This window comes from Homo sapiens, chromosome 18, assembly GCF_000001405.40.
Source record: "Homo sapiens chromosome 18, GRCh38.p14 Primary Assembly".
Classification (NCBI taxonomy): Eukaryota; Metazoa; Chordata; class Mammalia; order Primates; family Hominidae; genus Homo; species Homo sapiens.
Genome location: NC_000018.10, coordinates 4,223,682 through 4,245,287, shown reverse-complemented (window position 1 = coordinate 4,245,287; position 21,606 = coordinate 4,223,682). Strand labels below are relative to the sequence as shown.

Here is a 21,606-nt window from a genome sequence, read left to right as displayed (position 1 = left end):
AAAATATTGAAACATCAGTAGCAATTAATATGAAAATATTCGGATTTTACAGAATACTATTATACTGATAATACCCCTCATGAATTGAATGTCAAGTACCGAGCACTTTCCTAAGCAAATGTACAAGCTTATACACTTTGAATATTGGAGCAATGTTCTGAGTTATACCAGTAGCAGCTAACAACGTAGCAGACCACAGCTATCACAATTGCTAAGTTGAACAATGTGAAATTGCTAATATAAGATCACTTTTAACCTATAAAATGGCAATTTCCTGTGATTTAATCTTGCTATATTTATAACAAGAATAAGGGAGAACTGTTTATAGAATCTTACAAACTCTTCAGAAAATGTACTAATAGACACTTGCTGCATTGTGAGAAAAGTTCTAATATGATAGGCTATTCTAAGTACTTGGCTAAGAACCATTTCGTTACACTGGATGATAGCGGATATCACTGAGATGCATACAGTTTGGATTTGTGTTATGCCCCGGCACCTATGAACTAAAAGCAATTCCATCCTATATCCATTAGCCTTTTAATATCCTTGTGATGTTGATGGTGACATAATCCTACCTATTTTATGGCTGAAGAAAATGACACACAGATCATGTAACTGATCCATTGTCTCTTAAATATTTGGGCTCGGGAGGGGAACAACCTTTGATATAGAATCAACGAAGAATGACCAGCAGTATTTATTTTATTTTCATTGCCATTTCCCCCATCACTGATTTGGCAACTCATAGTTCTCATTACTCTGTTGCAACTAACGCAGTATTTACTCCAAAAGATATACCGCATGAATTTCTATAAGAGTAAATAGGTGAATTGTGTAAATTAGGTAGTTTTTTTAATTTTCAAGAGTGAATTTAATATATTATGGTACTATCAGAAATCTAGAAACATCTCAAAAAGTCTAGAAATTAAAAGATGTTATTAAATATTAAATGTAATTTTTGGTAAATGGAAAGCTAAAGTCATTTGTTAAATTCTTAACAAATTCACAGTAATCTGATCTGTGTGTGGTTGTCTTAAGCATCTTCCCCTCCTACGTAGGACTTGAAGGGGGAAGGTGACCGTTGTTAGTCCAGATTTCCTACTGACACTCTTATCCAGGAAAATATATTTCAAATTATTATCTTGATAGAATGGACTATGTATTAGATAAGAGATATTTTTGATGGACTTGTGATTATGTGGGATATATGAGTTCTTAAGATATGCACAATGTCTACAACTTCAGATGGTACAGAAAAAAAAAGAGCAAGAAAGCAAAATAATAATCGATGAAGTTACACCATGGGCACCCAGGTGTTCGTGGCATTACTATTAATTTTTCTGAAGGTCTGAACAATTTGAATTTTCAAAGGTAGGGATAAAATGTTCCAAAATATAGCTACCTTAATTTTTAAATGCCATTTTGACATTGTATACCTTTCAGCCACAGTGTAGGGTAAAAAAAAGATAAGCGGGTTTCATTTTTTTCCAAAAATCAGAACTACACACCTGACTGAAACATCCCACTTTCCTTATTTCAAAATTAGTAAACATTTCTGATGCCAAGGAGATATCCCAAAATGATAATATTTATCACTGAAGTAAGTGCTCTTAGAAAGAAACATCATGGGACATGAGGATATCACGGAAGATCACGTTGCTGTGACATTGTTTTGTTTTGTATTCAAATTTGTCTGTGTCATCATGAGTTAGTTACTGAAATCTCTAACACATGTACTATAAAGTGGCCTCAAAATAACTTGTTATATGATGAGATCATTGATGAAGAATACTTCTTGCCAAGGGGATGAGTTCTCTTCTCATAAAGCCCCAGAAATGCAGAGCCTTGGGAGGATCTGGCAGGAAGTCCACAAAAGCAAAACTGAGGACAAGGCTGTCCTCAGACTGTGCCCATCCGTGGTCAGTCCACCTCCAAATGCCTTAGAGATTATAGCAATCAGACTTATGAGTTTTGTTTCGGTTACGTAAGGAGTACTTGTTATATTCCAGGCACTGTACTCCGCAGAGGCACTTTTTAACCGAAAAGAACTATTAAGGAACTATTATTGCATTGATTTTACAGATGGGGAAATTAGAAATTAGAAAGATTTTAAATAATGTGTTCCAAGAAACTGGTGTTTTAGGTGTCCAAGAATGATTCTACTAAACACTACAGCACAAGGCACAAGCCTCACAACACACCATCTAAGAGCGGTGAGAGGGCAGGTGAGTCAACTGAGCACTCTCCCCTTTCTTTCTGACACTTTCTCACCAAACCAGTGTGATGAGGGCCACTGAGGACTGCTCCATGGCCACTTTGTGTCAGTGCATCTCTAGCCCTCATAGTGAGTACTCTTTGGGTGACCTAGCCCTCATCGTGGGTACTACATGTGTGACCTAGCCCTCATCATGGGTATTACATGTGTAATTGCCCTCATTGTGAGTTACTATGTGTGTGATCTAGCCCTCACATGGGTACTACATGCATGATCTCACCTTTATGTGTACTGCATTTGTAATCTAGCCCTCATCATGGGTATTACATGCATGATCTAGCCCTCACAGGTATGCTACATGTGTGATCTAGCCCTCAGGTGGGTATTACCCATGCGATCACAGGCCCACCAGGTATCGGGTTCCTAGTGCCACTGCCTGCCCTTCCCGCTTTCTTCCTCCCAGGTGTGCAAATGTTTCTGAAAAGAATTTTTGAATGAGCATGCAAGGTCCCTTTGTTCTGCCACTTCCCAAAGAAAGTTCTGACTCTTTTTTTGAAGTGGAAAGTTTTTCCTAAGTTTGCATTTCCAAGAGCAGATTTACCCCAAATCCTCCTTAATGCCTGGCTGCTTGTGTTCTCCTTCATTTCAGATCCATGTGCCAGAATTCTGGGCGGACTTTCTAGCACCCACTGGAGCAGTCAGCTGCGAGAGCTGATTGTGTCCTTGAAAAGGTGATCCAAGAACAAAATTAATTCCAGTGGATTAAAAAAAGAATGCATAAAATATTTCAAGATGAATCTTGATAGGTTCGTCATATGGAGAATAGTCTTTGTCCCCTAAAAAGCCTGGGGAGAAAGCTATAATCTTCCCAAAACAAAGAAATGGAGTGTATTTTATTGTAATGAAAAGACACATTCTACAAAAAATCAGAATCATACATTACTAGGTCGAGGGCTTTGAGGATGAAGGGGAACTGCTTTTGAGAAGCAGATATGTCTGGCGCCTGATGGTTTTCATGATGGAAGCAAAATAATGTATCATTTTTCTATATAATGGCAGATGACCATCCCAGATAAATGACTATAAGGGATAGCTTGATTTACCCTTTCCACAATGTATGTATATTTCAAAACAACATGTGGTACATGATAAATATATACAATTTTTATTATCAATTAAAAATAAATTTAAAAATGTTTAGAAAACTAATGATAAGGAAAAAAATCTTAGAACAGTATCATTGGCCTGTCAATAGTCAATGGAAGTATTGCCTAAGTTTCTTTCCAAAATATTCAGGACAACACCAATGTGTAGGAATCTAATGGCAGTCCACAAAAACAATTTTTAGAAAAGTAAAAGAAATACTTAAAATACTTTTTATTGGTGGCATCCCATATCCTCCAGCCAGTGCTGTTGGATTTTGCATTTCTATTTGTTTCAGAATGATGGTATATTATTTCCTTTTCCTCCTTCATCCATGTAACTAAGATTTATCTCTTTGTAATAAGTGCTCTGTAATTTCTATCGTATGTTTGCATTTCATATGCGACCATTTTTTTTCTAAGAGTTGTGTTCATAGCTGACACAGCTTTGATGTTACTTTATGGACTTACAGTGAGATTTCATTATCATAACTGACAGGAAATGAAAGGCAGTCTATGAAAATTCACAGACTGGTTCATTTATCAATGCTGTAAGCGAAGTGTGTTTCTCAGATAATAGCATCAGCATCACCTGGGAACTTGTCAGAAATGCGAACTGAGGGGCCTAACTCCAGACTTACCGAATCAAGAACTCTAGGAGTGACCTCAGCAATCAGTGTTTTAAGAACCACAGGGCATTGGAATCCCCAGGAGGACTTGTTCAATCACACATTGCCGTGTCTCATCCACATAAATTCTAACAGACATAACCAGTCACAGGCAAGTTTTGTGCAGTGATAAAAGATGTGACTCAAGCCCTGGGTAACTTATTGTTTTGGCTTTTAATAAACCAAAAATGAATTGCTCAAGTTAACCAAAAAAGAAATGAAAAAGATAACATTTTTCTCCTTTAGTTCTCAGTACGTCGATTAAACTGGGGAGTAAAGTAACAGTGAATGATAGGCCTATGAATGCTGACATGAAAGAGCGGGCACATCTTGTGCTATATTTGTTTTCCATCATCATTTAGCCAAAATGAAATTGTGTAAGTTCGTATGATTGCATAGTAACCACATGGAACTTTTGAGAAGCCCATCATTTGTTGATCTTTTCAACAGCATGCATTGGAAGAGATTTGAAACTTTTGCCAATTTGTAACAAAATACTTTCCAAATTTCAGTGCTCTCACAACTCAGTTCACATCAGAAAAGAAGAAATTATTTCTATGGATCATAACTGGAATTATCCAAAAGGCTCTGATTATGTGAATTATGTTAGGACACTTATGATTTTTATTCTATTTGTTTCATTTTCATAGTTATCTATGTATAGGAAAAGAAAACTGATGCAGAGTTTAATCTCTTTTTTGACATTTTCATTCTGGTCTTACATAAGTTCTACTTTCACCAGAAAATCTGATTTCAAGAGATTATAATTAGTCTGATATTGATGTTCCAGAAACCTATTAAAAGACTTACTTTCTTAGGAATCTATGTCATCTTCTTTTTTCTCATTTTCTTTCTAATATCTTTATTTTGATTGTATTTTCCTCTAGCAGTGTATTTGGTAAATAAAGTTAAGGCATTATAGTGGTCATTCTTACTGATAAATTATACCTACTAGATTTTAATGCATAAATATAGATGTAATAAGATGCATTATCAAGGCTATAAGGAAAACTACAAGTAAGAAAATTCTTCACATTTTTTTAAATTTAAAAAATGCATATAAACACTGTGGAAACTATGTAAACAGTAATTATTCACTGGGATTTCCTGGCCTATTAAAAACAACTATTTGAATCTGAAAACCAGTTTGCATTTCAGTAAAGGACTATTTGGTTAATTGACAATTCCTAACACAACAAGTAAATTACAAGACAAAGGAAATGTCTCTTTGGAGGACTAACTTGACATGCTTGAAAGACTAAGAAGATGAAAAAAGAGGTTTAAATAAACAAACAGGGCATGGAAAAGGAGGATAAAAGATATGGGGAGGAAATTATATTAAGTAGGTCCTAATGGATTCAATGTGGATTTGCAGACTCATATCCAGATTGAAAAATACTCTTGAAGTTGGACCAACTTGGACAATCTGCACTGAGAAAAGTAGTAATCTCTCTTTGTAAACCTTCCAAATAAATATTATTTTAGATTCTGTTTCTGAAAATATCCATCAACACACAGGCAACTAAGGAGGCCTGTATAGTTTGATTTTAAATCGAAGACACTTTGTTTAGCATCTCATTTGAGGAAACGGGTGTTGAGATGCTACAATTTAGTTGTGGCTCCAGAGCCACTTACCCTGAATATCACATGAATGTGGGCTAATTTTTATAATGTGAGACTATTTTTTAAAGCAGTATTTGGTACCACTTCCATACGAAAAAAAGAAGAAATCAATTTTTATAGTTTTCTTTTTATTTAGGGACCTTCTGAGTACATAACTAAAAAACTGCAGACTAAAAGCTGATCATTCTCAGCAGGTAAAATTGCTTATTCAATACTTTAATGACCCAAAACTTCTAAACAAAAGATTTTCTTCTTTCTTCAGTTCCTTTGTTTAAAAAACCTAGAATTCATCAAATAAATGATGAAAAAAACTAATTTTTTTTAAATGATGTCAATTATCCCTTTAGGATTTAGGAGATAGATCAAAACACAGTCCTTCACACATCTCATGCTTGATGACATTGTAAAGCTGAAGATTTGAAAAGTGCAAATGTGATAGATTCTCTCAGTTGCTATTTTGGTAACTTCTCCTTGGCAACCATAAGATATGAATTAAATCTTGCAATCAGAGCTGCTGTACGGTATAGACTGTGATACCAACAGCACTCTCTGAAGTTGTGCACTGCACAACACTCCCAGCATCACATAGTGGCCCACTTTGACTATTGCCTACTCAGTGATAAAGTCTACCACAGATGATCTGAGTTATAGTTCTCAAATTTTGATGTTCATGCAAATTATGTGAAAAGTTTTTATTGATGATTTTTCCTGTATTCTACTTCTTCAGACATTATAATTCAATAATTTGGGGTGGAGAGGGGCATTTTTCAAATTCACCTTATTGAAAAGTAATTCCAAGTAATTTGGATGCAGGTGGTCCACAGATTACTCTTGGAGAGATCTTTGCCTAAAGGGCACCCATTTCTAATAATATGAAAGCAGCTCCTATTGCCAGCTCATTTGCTTTCAGTAACCTGAAAGGGTAGTTACATATTTTGATTAGAATTAATAGTGCTGCTATACATATATAATCCCTCATTATCTTGTATCATCATGTTCATATTTACTGAATAAAACTTCTCAGCAAGTAGTTACTGAGTAAGTTTTTTGAAGGAAGGATACCAAAAATCGAGAGTGAAAAAGAGGTATTATTTCTCAAAACTTCTACGGTGTATTTACATAGTTAAAAAATTTCAACACTGAGACGTCTTTTCTGCTTCTATTTAATTAAAGGAGAACACAATTCATCAAAATGTTGTCAAGAAGTTGTCAAATTGACTTAAATTAAAAAGCTAGCTTTATGCTTTCTGATGATCTAAGTAACTTCAGATATCAGGCTTTTTTATTCTATGTATCAGGGATATAAACCTGACCTTGGGTTTTCAGTAGAAAATAGTTTGGAATGTCTATTTAGATTGGGGTCATAATTCACAGAAGTTCTTCTAAGAACGTTTACAGATACCATCTCATTTAACTCACAATATTTTGAAGAAAATAGCATTATCTTTTATAATTGATGAAACAGAGAGGAAGCCTACCTTGTACAAATAGAAATACAAATTGAGCATCCCAAATCCAAAAATCTGACATCTAAAATGCTCCAAAATCCAAAACATTTTGGGCACCAACAGGATGCTTAAAAGAAATGCTTACTGGAGCATTATGGATTTCAGATTTTTGAATTTGGGATGCTCAACCAGGATGCTATACCTGAAATACTTTAAATGGCATATGGCATCTACAGATTTTTCTTCAGGTAAGAGATTTAACGGAATGTTTCACTTGGCATGTATGATAATATTGCATCATAATATTTTTATTATAGCTTTACAACTCATAACTCATTTGGCAGTAGTCATGATCAGTGATATGAAATAATTACAAAGTGATTCATGTTAACATAACTTAGTTTAAGTTCAATAATTCCCGCTGTCACTGGAGCCATTTGTACATATTGAATTTAATCTACTCATAACTCAGGCAAAAATTGCTTCCTTTTTTTTTTTCTTTATAAATGGAGTCTTTTAGGGCCTCTTGCTGAAAAAAGAAACTAACTCTGGATAACATAAGCAAGCAAGAATGTATTAGAAGGATCTTGAGGAAACTAACAAATTTGAAGAGAGGGCCGCAGAGTCAGTCTCAGAAAAGGCAGGAACCTGGACTTTCCAGAGCTGTGGGTGGCAGGAACAGTGTGGCTGAACCACTCAACCCCCGTCCTTCCCCAGAATCAAGGCATTAACCCTGACCGTTTTTTCTGTCTTTCATTTCTCCACTCAGTTGAAAATCCTAACAAAAGGAGGCTTCAGGGTCTCCGTTAGCTTCTAGGACTTATCATCATACCAAGACTGCGCCCACTGGAGGAAGGGAAATTCCCCAAAAAGAACTAGGTATACTGCTGAGAAAGGGAATGAATATTACTAGCAAACAACAACAAGTATAAATTTAGAGTTTCCAGTGCAGGATCTACAGGTGTATCCTGTCCTTCAGATCACAAATAGGCAAGGACCGAAGCTTCAGATAGCGTGGTAATTAATTGGCGAGTTCAGGATTAGTAACAGAAAGGCACACACAGTCATTTCCCGACTTCCCTCTGTCCTAACACTGAGCTACTCGATAGCTTCAGACAGTGAACTCTGAGAAGAGTGGAGAAAGCACAGTCTTGACTAAACCCCTAATGTTCTATGTCAGGGTGAATATGCCTGAACCAGAAGGAGCAGGGGAGACGTGACTCATTTATTTAGTTTTCAAGGGTAGGAGAACTGTTTATATGTTTTTCCCATGCTAAATTGTGCCACGAAGCACATCTCTTTAACTGCTCAATAAATGTTTGCTAAATTAAAATGAAGGAATAAGAATAGAAGACCTATATGCAAACAATTGGTTATTCAATATTCTGGCGACTGGTAGAGACATGGCCTTACATGTTTGTAAATCAGCTAGAAAAGACAATTGCGCAGTTATTATTTTATTTTATCTAGTAGAAGCCACCTCGCTTAAGATAAATATCAGTGAAAGTAGCTCAACATGGGGAATAAACAACATTGCATTAAAGCATTAAGATAACTCATTTAAGGGAGGGAAAAAAATATTTATAAAACTTAAAGAGTCTAAGCTATAAAGTGCAGCTTGTAAATTAGGGTGTCACTTTTGACTGATGTTTGAAGATATTGGTTCAGTATAAGGCAGTGGCACATAAGTGAACAAATTCCTAAGCGTTGTGAGGAAGAGGTGTAAAAGCACAAGGAAAATGATTGCAATCTCCTTCTACCACACCGTGCTTCAGTGGCACATTTACTAGGTGCAGTTTGCACACTATCCTTCCAAGAGACATAATGGACTTGATGAAGACCCAGCGAAAGGAATGTTAAATGACTAAAGGAATTATGGCACTTCTACTGATAATCATTACAATTATGTCCAACACTGCTTTAGTCCTTACTGTATGTAATCCATGTGGGAGTTCATTTTCATGTACTTACTGATTGAAACCTCACAAAATCCTATGAGGCAGGTAATATTATTTTATCCTCATTTTACAGATAAAGTTAACAAGGATCAGAGGCTTTAAATGGCTTGCCCAAGTCAGAAAACTAAGTGGCTGAGGCAAGATTTGAACCCAGGCAATCTGGTCCTAAAGTTCCTGCTACATGAAGATAGAGAAAAAACATTGAGGCCAGGCATGGTGGCTCATGCCTGTAATCCCAGCACTTTGGAAGGCTAAGGCAGGCGGATCACCTGAGGTCAGGCATTAGAGACCAGCCTGGCCAACTTGGCCAAACCCCGTCTCTACTAAAAATACAAAAATTAGCCAGGCATGGTGGCGCATGCCTGCAATCCCAGCTACTAGGGAGGCTGAGGCAGGAGAATTGCTTGAACCCGGGAGGCGGAGGTTGCAGTGAGCCAAGATCATGCCACTGCACTCCAGCATGGGCAACAGAGTGAGACTCCGTCTCAAAAAAAAAAAAAAAAAAAAAAAAGACATTGAAATTGAAATTTATAAAACTGTAAACCATGTTGACAGACATAACTTGGGTTTATCTTTTATTTCTCAAAACACTGAAAATGGGTTGTATTTTCAATCAAATAAGAGAAAGTGTTCATTTAAGCAGTGCTGGCAAAAACAAATGAACAAAGAAATTTTTATGTAACACATTATTCCAAATGGTGCTAGGAATTAAAAAAACAGCAGGTTCAAACAAAGCTTAGATAATTTCATGGATTATAGCTTGATTTGCAGAGTAACTGCTATTTTACAGGCCAACATGAGCAATTCCCAAGTGGTTCATATGATGTTACTCTCACGATGTCTCCTCTGGCCCCCAGTTACCCCTCACATTTGAGGGGAGGGAGTGCAGCAAGCTCAGTGCTTCCCCAGTTTTCTCCATTGAATATATGCACTTTTTGAATTTTTAAAATCAAACAATTTTTCTAAAATTCAACTTAATAAGTGGTTAATGGGTGTCCACTATGTGGTGGGCCCGTGAGGGTACAAAATGAATGTGTCATTCTTCTAATTTGAAGGAGTGCTTCACCAAGGGACAGAAGAATATGTGCTTCCAATAAGCTGGAAAACAGGTTTGAGTAGGGTGTTCGAAGAGAGACAAAAATATTGTGGGTAAGCTCAGAAAAGGGAACAACCCTGACTGGGCAGAAGTCAGGAAGCTTCACAAATGAAGTAAAGTCATCTCTGAAATTTTCTTTTTCTTCCCATATCAAGAAAGAGAAGGGGAGAACAAGGGAGGGGAGGAAGGAAGGAAGATTTAAACACAAAGTTCAGGGTTCACGTGCACATCCTTTTTTTATGACATGCCTTTCTTTTACTTCTTTTAAACTATTCTTTTAGATTTGTTTTCGTGAATAAGTAAAACAGGAAAAAAAGAACGTCAGCATCTATCCAAATTGCCGTGAGTTGAAATGGGTGTAGTGAGAGTTGATGCTGAGACTTGTAGAGAGTTGACATAGTATATAATTACTACAGTTATCTGAGTGGCACTAAATTTGTTCACCTGTCATTCTTCTAGTGGTATATATTTGCTAAAATATGATTCAAAGAAGTGTTATTGTTTTTATAATTTGAAGAACAAAAGGCCTGTATTATATAAAATATTTTCCATTTAATATATTCTTTCTATAAAAGTTAAAAATCCAAAGAAATCTTTCAAAGTAAATTATTGTTCTCAGAAGGAAGGGTAGAAGAGTTTATACATTTGAAATTAAATTGGCTGGGTGCATAACTAAGAACATATTGAAAATGTACAGCACTTGAACCCTGCTGTGTTATCATCATAGTGAATCACAAGTTTTGCTTGGTTACTGTCAAATGGAAATAGAAATTAAATTTAAACAGAGCTTATTAAGACTTGTTAGTCTGAAGAGCACTTCATCAGCTTTAAAGTGTATGTAAGTGTCATGGCTAATTAAAATTGAGTTTTAGTGCAACTAACATAATTTTCTGTCTTAAAAATATGCTATCTGGGAACCTCTCCAGTACTTTGTCAAGATGTTCTTGGTACCATTATTAGTAATCATTAGGGACCATTATAGTTAATGTCTATTTGACCTTCCATCCAAGAAACTAAAAAAAAAAAAAAAATAGCAAAAAAGAAACTTTACATGGCTTGTGTTTGGAGGACAGTTCTTTGGTGTCATTTTTTATAGATGACTGGAATTTTGCTCAAACTGAGTCAGAAGTGAAAATTAAGATATTTAAATATTGAAATCATGCTTCTCAAAATATTTTAAAAACGTATGATGTAGTATAGCATGACAGGAGGAAAATAGAATACATTTGTATTATGTTTATTTGTATTAAAATAAGTATAGGAATAAAGAAATGGTAATGGACTGTGAATAATCAAAATAAAGTTGAAATACTTTCTCAGATCCCCTGTGATGTTATCTGTTTCCTATACAGCTTTCTATCTCCATCAAAAAGTATCTTTTATCTCCAATTAAAAACTAATTGATCTCTGAGGGGGTTTTAACATATGCGCATATTCCTTGATAATACTCCCTCCAGGAGGTGAAGCTTAATTCCCTTCCCTTTGAGTGTTGGCCAAACTTAATGACTTCCTTCTAACAAATAAAGCATGGAAAAGGAGAAACAGTAACTTTACAGTAGAGAGAGCCAGCATACAACATCGTAACCAGGCCGAGGTTAACAATAACAGTGATAAATCATGTTGATATAATGTACCCTGTGATATTATGTGATGAGAAGGCACCTCACCTCTGAGGTAATCTCCCCCTAAATCCATAACTCCAGCCTATTAGTGAGAAAAATATCAGACAATCTCAAACTGAAAGACCTTATGCAAAACATCTGACCAGTAAGCTTTAAAATGTACAATTTTTAAGGTCATGAAAGACAAGGAAATACTAAGGAATTGCCACAGATTAGAAGAGACTAAGGAGACACAATAACAAACTTCAATCTGTTTTCTGGCTTAGATCGGGGCCAGGGATAGAACATAAGTGGGAATACTGGGGAAATAAGTAAAATCTATAGTTTAGGTCATAACTCCGTACCAGCATTTCCTAGTTTTTGATCATTGTGATTTGATCATGTAGAATGTTAACATGAGGGGAAGATGGATGAAAGGTATGGGAGACTGTGCCAATTTTTCAACCTTTTATAAATCTAAAATAATTTTAAAATAAAACATTTTAAAACTAACAAATTCATGAGCAGTCATGATTCTCCTCATTACTCAGTAGCTAAGCTTCAAGGTGGTCCCTATAATCTTGACTTCTGTGTTCCCACACTTGTGTGGTTTCCTTTGAGAGCTGACCTGTGTACAAGATTTCTGCAGAAGTGAGGGTCTGTGGTTTCTAAGGCTAGGTCACAAAAGGTGCTGGCGGTTTCACCTTGGTCTCTTGAGTTGCTTGCTCCAGGGAAAGCTAGCTTTCATGCGGTGAGGTCCCTTCTGCTGCCCTAAGTCCCATATGAGAGGAGCTAGTGCATTTTTCCTTGACCATGGATTGAGTTACATTCCAGAGGTCCACAAACCAGATAGTGTAAAATTTCTTACATTTGTTATGCTGGAGCTTTGTTTCCTTGTTCTTAATGTCTGATTTTAAAGTTGATAGTAAATTTTAGGCTCTTGCACTTCTTTCTGCAAAAAAATGGCTTTTACATTACAACAACATTGTCTTATAAATTCTCTTGCACTTTTATAATTTTAAGACCTTCATTCATAAAATGACACATTCATTACATCAGCCATTAGACTATTTCAAGGTGCTGTTTAGTTGCAAAAAGTTCATTATCGAGAAAACAAGTCTAACCATTTATAATTTCTCACAATTTCTCTCCAGTGTGCACTGACTTCTGACTAATTTCTCTCCTATGTAAAGAAGAATACCTTTAGCCACATTTAAATTCAAGTTAAGCTTCTGTCAAATGTGATTTTAAAAAAAAATTTAAGGACCCCTCAATAGAATAAGAGATCACATAATTTTTTGCTATAATGAACATTACATTTTCTGACCACCAACATCTGTTTCTTTGTTGGATGGCGGGAATTCTTGGGATAGTTTGTAGGTTTTATGCTCATTGTTTTCTCTTTGTAAAATTAATAGGTGTAAATGTGACAAAATGAATCCGTGATTTAATAATACCTTACCTTTAAACTTCAAGCTCACCTCTTAGTAAACTCCAAATAATTATGAAATAGTTATTATTCAATTTATTCAGTTCTACATGAACTGAACAACTATGTATTAATACTTATTATTAATACACAATGGGCTTAACCTATTAGGGATTGCACATCGACCAATAGCCACAGAATTTCATTCTTAGTGTCAATAGCATATTCCCTACTAATGTGTGCATCTTGTAGACATTTAATGTTCATTTCTTCTCTATGAATATTCTTTCCTCTCAATTAGATACATTAGCTTTGATTTAAACACCTTCTGAATCATTCATTGTCCTGGAAGGAAAGAGGATTTACTCAGATGATTTAAATGAAGAAAGTTTTTAAAATAAAGAATTTGTTTACTAAGGAAAGAAATAGAGGATATGGGAGGATCCAGAGAATAGAAATGGTAGGAATGAGTTATTAAAAAAAAAATAGAACTGAAAACAAAGGAAGAAGCAAGCCCCAGGGAGGGCTAGAGCTCTAACAGAGAGATCACACAGTGGGAGTGGTAGTCTTTAAAAATCTAATTGCTTCACAGTAATTTTGCCAAAGCAGTGAAGGTGCAGGGAGGAAATACCCCAGTTTCTCTCTCAGCCTATCTGATAATCTCTTGCTTTACTGCCATTACTTCCCACAGGCAAAATCCAATCAAAACCCAGCTAGCTTGGCAGGCTGTCCTAGAGATCAGCCACCCAGGCTTCCAGAGCAGGGCAGAGAAGTATGAAAATTGATTTTGGAAAGGGGGCTAATGGAGAGCAAACACCATAAGAAAATGCTTTATTGGCAGCAAGCATTTTGTCTTTCCAGGTCATATTTTAAATATGCTTAAATATAAGGAAAAATTTATGCGTGTTTGAGATTTCATGTAAATATTTATATAAGTTGAATAATTATAATATTCCTGAATATGACATTTATTTCTTCTCAAGAGATAATATTTCTGACAATAAATAAGAAGGAAAAAAACTACCTGGTAGGTAATCTTGAAATTAATTTGTATAAATTTGAGCAAGTATTGAAACAAACCAAAGTGGATTCCTATTCAGGACTGTGGACAAGTACCACGGACAGCTACCACAGCGCTGCTTTTTAGGTTTTTTGTTTGTTTGTTTTATTTCAAATTATTTATTTTTAATTTTGGAGTATGTAGTAGGTGTATCTATTTATGGCATACATGACATATTTTGATAGAGGCATGCAATGAGTAATAATCACATCAGGGTAAGTGGGGTATCCATCACCTCAAGCATTTATCCTTTGTGTTACAAACCATCCAATCATACTTTTTAAGTTATCTTAAAATGTACAATTATTATTGACTGTAGTCACCCTGTTTTGCGGTCACATACTAGATCTTAGTCATTCTTTCTATTTATGTACCCATTAACCATCCCCATTTCCTCCCCACCTTCCACTTCCCAGCATCTGACAACCATCATTCTATTTTCTATCTCCATGAGCTCAAGTGTTTTAATTTTAGCTCCTACAAATAAGTGAGAACATGTGAAGTTTGTCTTTTTGTGCCAGGATATTTTACTTAACATAATGACCTCCAGTTCCATCTATGTTGTTGCAAATGACAAGATCTCATTTTTTATGGCTAACAGTACTCCATTGTATTTATATACCACATTTTCTTCATTCATCTGTTGATGGACACTGAGGTTGTTTCCAAAATTTGTCTATTGTGAACAGTGCTGCAGTAAACACGGGAGTGCAGAGTGCAGATATCTCTTCGATAATACGAATTCACTTTCTTTGCATAATATATCTAGCAGTGAGATTGCTGGGTCATATAATAGCTCTATTTTTAGATTTGGAGAAACTGGCAAACTGTTTTCCATTGTGGTTGTACTAATTTACATTGCTACCAACAGTGTATGAGGGTTCCCTTTTCTCCACATCCTCATCTGCATTTGTTATTGTCTGTCTTTTAGATAAAAGCCATTTTAACTGGGGTGCTATAGCATTGTAGTTTTAATTTGCATTTCATAGATGATCAATGATGGTGACCACCTTTTCATATACGTTTGTTATTTGTATGTCTTCTTTTGAGAAATGTCTATTCAGATATTTTGCCCATTTTTAGTTGCATTATTAGACTTTCTTCCTATGGAGTTGTTTGAGCTCCTTATATATTCTGGTCATTAATCTCTTCTCAGATGGGCAGTTTGCAAACATTTTCTGTGGGTTTATGTCTTCACTTTGTTGATTGTTCCCTTTGCTGTGCAGGAACTTTTAAATTGATGTAATCCCATCTGTCCACTTTGGCTTTGGTTGCCTGTGCTTTTGGTATATTAACTCAAATTGAGCTTCCCCATGTTTTCTTGTAGTAGTTTCATAATATGATGACTTAGATTTAAGTATTTAGTCCATTTTGCTTTTCTTAATATGGCAAGAGACAAGGGTCTAGACTCATTCTCCTTCATATGGATGTCCAGTTCTCCTAGCACCATTTATTGAAGAGACTGTCATTTCTCCAATATGTTCCTGGAATCTTTGTTGATAATGAGTTCACTGTCGATGTATGAATTTGTTTCTAGGTCCTCTATTTTGTTCCATTGGTCTATGTGTCTGTTTTTATGCCAGTGTCATGCTGTTTTGGTTACTATAGCTCTGCAGTATAATTTGAAGTCAGATAATGCTAGTCTTCCAGTTTTGTTCCTTTTGCTCAGGATAGCTTTGGCTATTCTGGGTCTTTTTTGGTTCCATATAAATTTTAAGATTGTTTCTCTATTTCTGTGAAGAATTTCATGAGTATTTTGATAGAGATTGTATTCCATCTGTAGATTGTTGTAAGTAGTATGGACATTTTGAGTATTTATTCTTCCAATCTATAAACATAGAATGTCTTTCCATTTTTGTGTCCTCTAATTTCTTTCATCAATGTTTCATAGTTTTCATTATAGATCTTTCGCTTCTTTGGTTAAGTTAATTTCTAGGTATTTAATTTTATGTGTAGCAATTATCAGTGGAATTATTTTCTTGATTTCTATTTCAGGTTGATTGCTGTTGGCATATATAAATGCTACTGATGCTTTATGTTGATTTTGTATCCTTCAACTTTATTGAATTTGTTTATCAAATAATTTTTGTGGAGTCCTTAGGTTTTTCCAAATATAAGATTACATAATTTGCAAACAAGGATAATTTGACATCTTCTTTTCCAGTTTGGATGCCCTTTTTTTAAAATTTTTTTTGTTGACTGCCCTAGCTAGGAATTCCAGTATTATGTTGAATAAAAGTGCTGAAAGTGTACATGCTTGTTGCTTACCAGATCTTAGAGGCTAGGCTTTCAGTTTTTCTCCATTCCATATGACATTAGCTGTGGATCTGCATATATTGACTTTTATTGACTTTTATCTGGTGTTTTCCTTCTATACCCAGTTTTTTTAGGGTTTTTATCATGAAACAATGTTAAGTTTTATCAAATGATTTTTCAGCATCAGTTGAAATGATCACATGGTTGTTATCCTTCATTCTGTTGATATGATGTGTTGATGGATTTGCATATGTTGAACCATCTCTGTATTCCTGGGATAAATCTCACTTGGCCGTGATGGATGATGTTTTTAATGTGTTGTTGGATTCAGTTTGCTAGTATTTTGTTGAGGATTTCTGATCCATGTTCATCAGGGATATTGGCCTGTAGTTTTCTTTTTCTTGATGTGTCTTCGTCTTGTTTTGGTATCAGGACAATACTGATCTCATAGAATGAGGTTGGAAGTATTCCCTCCTCCTCTGTTTTTTAGAACAGTTTGAGTAGGATGTTTAAATGTTTGGTAACATTCAGCAGTGAAGCCATCAGGTCCCAGGCTTATCTTTGCTAGGATACTGTTTATGGTAGCTTTGATCTGGTTACTTCTTATTTGTCCATTCAGGTTTTGGATTTTTTCGTGGCTCAATCTTGGTAGGCTTCATCTCACTAGGCATTTTTTTTTTCATTTCTTCTAGTTTTTCTAATTTATTGCCTGACAGTTACTCATAGTAGCCTCTAATGATCATTTGAATTTCAGTGGTATTGGGTTGAAAGTCTCCTTTTCCATTTCTAATTTTATTTATTTGGGTCTTCTCTCTCTGTATTTTGTTAGTCTGGCAAGAGTTTTCTCAATTTTGTTTATCTTTTTAAAAACAAACTTTTCATTTTAGTCATCTTTTGTATTGTTTTCTTCATTTCATTTTCATTAATTTTTGCTCTAACCTTTATTATTACTTTTTCTTTAATAATTTTGGGTTTGGTTTGCTCTTGCTTGTCTGATTCTTTAAGATGCACCATTAGTTTTTTTTTTTATTTGAAGTTTTTCTACATTTTTGGTGGAGGCGCTTATAGTTACAAAATGTCCTCTTAGTACTGCTTTTGCTGTATCCCATAGGTTTTGTATATTGTGTTTCCATTATCATTTGTTTCAAGAAATTTTTTAATTGCACTCTTAATTTTTTCACCCACTTACTAATCATTTGGGGGCATATTATTTAATTTCCATGTGTTTGCATAGTTTTAAAAATTTCTCATTATTGATTTCTAGTTTTATTACATTGTGGTCTGAGAAGATGTTCGATATATTTCAATTTTTTTAATGTCTTAAGACTAGTTTTCTGGCCAAACATATGGTTTGTTTTAGAGAATGATTCATGTGCTGTGGAGAAGAATGTGTATTCTGCAGCCGTTGGATGAAATGTTCTGTAAATATCTATTAGGTCCATTTGGTCTAGGTGCAGATTAAGTCCAATGTTTTGTTGATTTTTCTGTCTGGGTCATCTGTCCAAGGCTGAAAGTGGGGTGCTAAAGTCTTCTTCTATTAATGTATAGGGGTCTACCTCTCTCTTTAAGTCTAACATTTGCTTTAAATATCAGGGTGTTCTAATGTTGGGTGCATATATATTTACAATTGTTATATCCTCTTATTGAATTGACCCCGTTATCATTATATAATGACCTTATTTTTCTCTTTTTTATAGTTTTTGTTCTGAAATCTATTATGATGTAAGTATAGCTACCGTGCTCTTTTTTGGTTTCCATTTGCATGGATTATCTTTTTCCATCCCTTTTATTTTCAGTGTATATATTTCTTTATAGGTGAAGTGCCCTTCTTGTAGGCAACAAGTCTTTTTTTAAAAAATTTTATCTATTCAGTCACTCTATGTCTTTTGATGGGAGAGTTTAGTCCATTTACATTCAATGGTATTACTGACAAGTAAGGACTTATTCTTGTGATTTTGTTACTTGTTTTCTGGTTGTTTTGTGGTCTTCTTTTCCTTCTTTTCTTCCTTCCTGGCTTCCTTTTAGTGAAGGTCATTTTCTCTTGTGGTCTGTTTTCATTTATTGCTTTCTATTTTTTTGTGTATACACTGTTTTTTTTTTTTTTTGAGTTTACCATGAGTCTTGCAAATAATATCTTATAATACACTAGTTTAAACAGATAATGTCTTAACACTGATTATATAAACAAATTAACAAGCAAAGAGAAAACTAATAAAAACTCTATACTTTAACTTTGTCCCCACACTTTTTAACTTTTTGTTATTTCTATTTATATCTTATTATACCACCTATGCCTTGAAAAGTTTTTGTAGTTATTATTTTTAATCAGATTATCTTTTAATCTTTCTACTCAAGATATGAAAAGTTTACCCACCACAGTTACAATGTTATTATATTTTGTTTTCCTGTGCATTTACCGTTACCATTGATTTTTATACCTTCAGATATTGGTCATTAAAGTCCTTTTCTTTTAGACTGAAGAACTCTCTTTAGCTTTTCTTATAGGACAGGTCTGGTGTTGATGAAATATTTCAGCTTTTCTGTTGGTCTTGAAATGTCTTTATTTCTCCTTCATGTTCAAAGAATATTTTTGCTGGATATCCTATTCTAAGATCAATGGTTTTTTTCTCCTTCAGCACAGTATATATATAAGGCCACTCTCTCCTGGCCTATAAGGTTTCCACTGAAAAGTCTGCTGCCAGGTGCATCGGAGTTTCATTGTATGTTATTTGGTTCCTTTCTCTTGCTGCTTTTAGGACTCTTTCTTTAATCTTGACATTTGGGAGTTTTATTATTAAATATTTTGTAGTCTTTAGGTTAATCTGCTTGATGTTCTATAACCCTTTTGTACTTGAATATTGCTACCTTTCTTTAGGTTGGGGAAGTTCTGTGTTATTATCCCTTTGAACCTTCTACCTCTATCTCTCTCTCTCTGTCCTTTTTAAGGCCAATAACTCTTATATTTACCCTTTGGGGGCTATTTTTTAGAACTTGTAGGTATGCTTCATTCTTTTTTATTAATTTTGCTTTTATCTCCTCTGTGTATATACAAATACTCTGTTTTCAAGCTCACTAATTCTTTCTTCTGCTTGATCAGCTCTACTGGTAAGAGACTGATACATTCTTCAGTATGTCATTTGCATTTTCAACTTTTTTCTGCTTGATTTCTTTTAATAATTTAAGTATTTTTGTTAAATTTATCTGATAGGATCTTGAATTCCTTCTCTGCGTTTCCTTGAATTTCATTGAGTTTCCTCAAAAAAGCTATTTTAAATTCTCTATCTGAAAGGTCCTATATCTCTGTCTTTCCAGGATTGGTCCCTGGTGCCATATTTAGTTCATTTGGTGAGGTCATGTTTTCCTGGATCGTCTTGATGCTTGTAGATGTTCATCAGTGTCTGGGCATAGAAGAGTTAGGTATTTATGGTAGTTTTCACAGTCTGGGCTTGTTTGTACCTGTCCGTCTTGGGAGGATTTTCCAGGTATCTATGGGATGTGGGTATTGTGATCTAAGTTTTAGGTCACTGCAACCATAACTGCATTAAGTGGCACCCCCATCCTTGTAATGCTGTGACTCTTCCAGCCTCATAGAGGCTTGAAGATCTGACCGCTGAAATGGATGATTCCCCTCTGGCTAGAGCTGGTTTAAATGCTACCTTCATGGTTCTTGGTAGTATTGCATGAGATACAAAAGAATTTTCTGGATTACCAGGCAGAGCCTCTTGTTTTATTCCCTTACTTTCTCCCAAAGAAACAGAGTATCTGTGTGTGCATGCATGTGTGTGTGGGGGGGTGTGAGTGTGTGTACCTGAAGCTGGGGGAGCAGTGACATAAGCCTTCCTGTGGGCATCACCACTGTGAATGCACTAAGACCTGAAGCCAGCACAGCACTGGGTCCCCCAAAAGCCTACTGTAAATACTTTCTTGCTACCTCCTATGTTTTCTCAAGGCCTTAGGGCTCTACAATCTGCAGGTGGCAACACCAGCCAGGCTTGTATCCTTCTCTTCAGTGTAGTGAGTCCCCCTGGCCCCAGGTGGGTCCAGAGATATGGGCCCAGAGCCAAGACCTGGAGACAGATACCTTTGGAACCTACCTGGTGCTCTATTCCACTGTGGCTGAGCTGGCACCCAAACACAAGACAGTTCTTCCCACTCTTCTCTCCCCTTTCCACAAGCAGAGGCGTCTTCCTCCGTGTCTGCCACCACCACAGGCCTGCAGGTTGTATTGCCAGGCTACTGCCAGTGTTCACTCAAGGCCCAAGGGCTCTTCAGTCAGCTTATGGCAAATGTGGTCAGGCCTGAAACTCACCCTTCAGGGATGTGGGTTCCCATATGGCCCAGGGCAGGTCTAGAAATGCTGTCCAAGAGCTTAGCCTGGTATCACGGACCCCAAGATCCCCCTTGGTACTCTACCTCCTTATGGCCAAACTGATACCTAGTCTGTTTTCTTTACTCTTGTTTCTGCTTTTCTCAAGAAGAAGGGGTCTCTCCTCATAGCCATGACAGCTGTGAAACAGTTGGTCACACCTGAAGTCAGCACATCTCAGAGTCTCACCCAATGCCCAGAGAGTGTGGTTGCCCACAGTGTGTGCTACCTGGCTACTGCTGCTGATTATTCAGAGGCCAAAAGCTCTTTAGTCAGCCCGTGATGAATCCTGCCAGGACTGAGTTCTTCCACTCAAGGCAACAGGTTCCCTTCTGGCCCAGGTTTTGTCTAGAAATGTCAACCAGGAGTTAGGGCCTGGAATGAGTGTCTCAGGACTCTGCTCAGTGTTCTATGCTCATTCTCATTTCTCTAACTAGAATTTTCCAAGTTGTATCTAAATGATTGAAGCTATTATCTGACTGGTTATATAAAAATGTCATGAGGTTACAGCTAAGAATTAAGTTATAATGATTTAGCTCTTTAATGTAGACATTCACCTTCCTATGGCAATGATATGTGCCATAAGGATGCTCTTTGGACTACTTCTCTGTTCTCTGTATAGACTGGGAAGGGTGATATTTTATGTTATAGTAGTGGATTCTGAAAAAAGTGAGTCTGACACCACTAATACACTTTCAAGAAAATTTTGCATTTCTGACAAGGAAATATAAACATTTAGAG

General features: G+C 35.8%; 1 protein-coding gene across 11 annotated transcripts in view, besides 1 other annotated feature; it reads left to right on the top strand.

Moving 5' to 3' along the window:
• Positions 1–21,606, top strand: part of DLGAP1 (DLG associated protein 1) — a 959,276-nt gene that overhangs the window by 210,020 nt on the left and 727,650 nt on the right. The gene's annotated exons all lie outside the window — the stretch shown is intronic.
• Positions 10,972–11,889: an enhancer, noted in NCBI's record as "OCT4-NANOG hESC enhancer chr18:4233399-4234316 (GRCh37/hg19 assembly coordinates)". NCBI's record gives its function as "activates a minimal SCP1, AML or CMV promoter by ChIP-STARR-seq in primed H9 embryonic stem cells {active_cell/tissue: H9 hESC(primed)}" and the evidence as "EXISTENCE:reporter gene assay evidence [ECO:0000049][PMID:30033119]".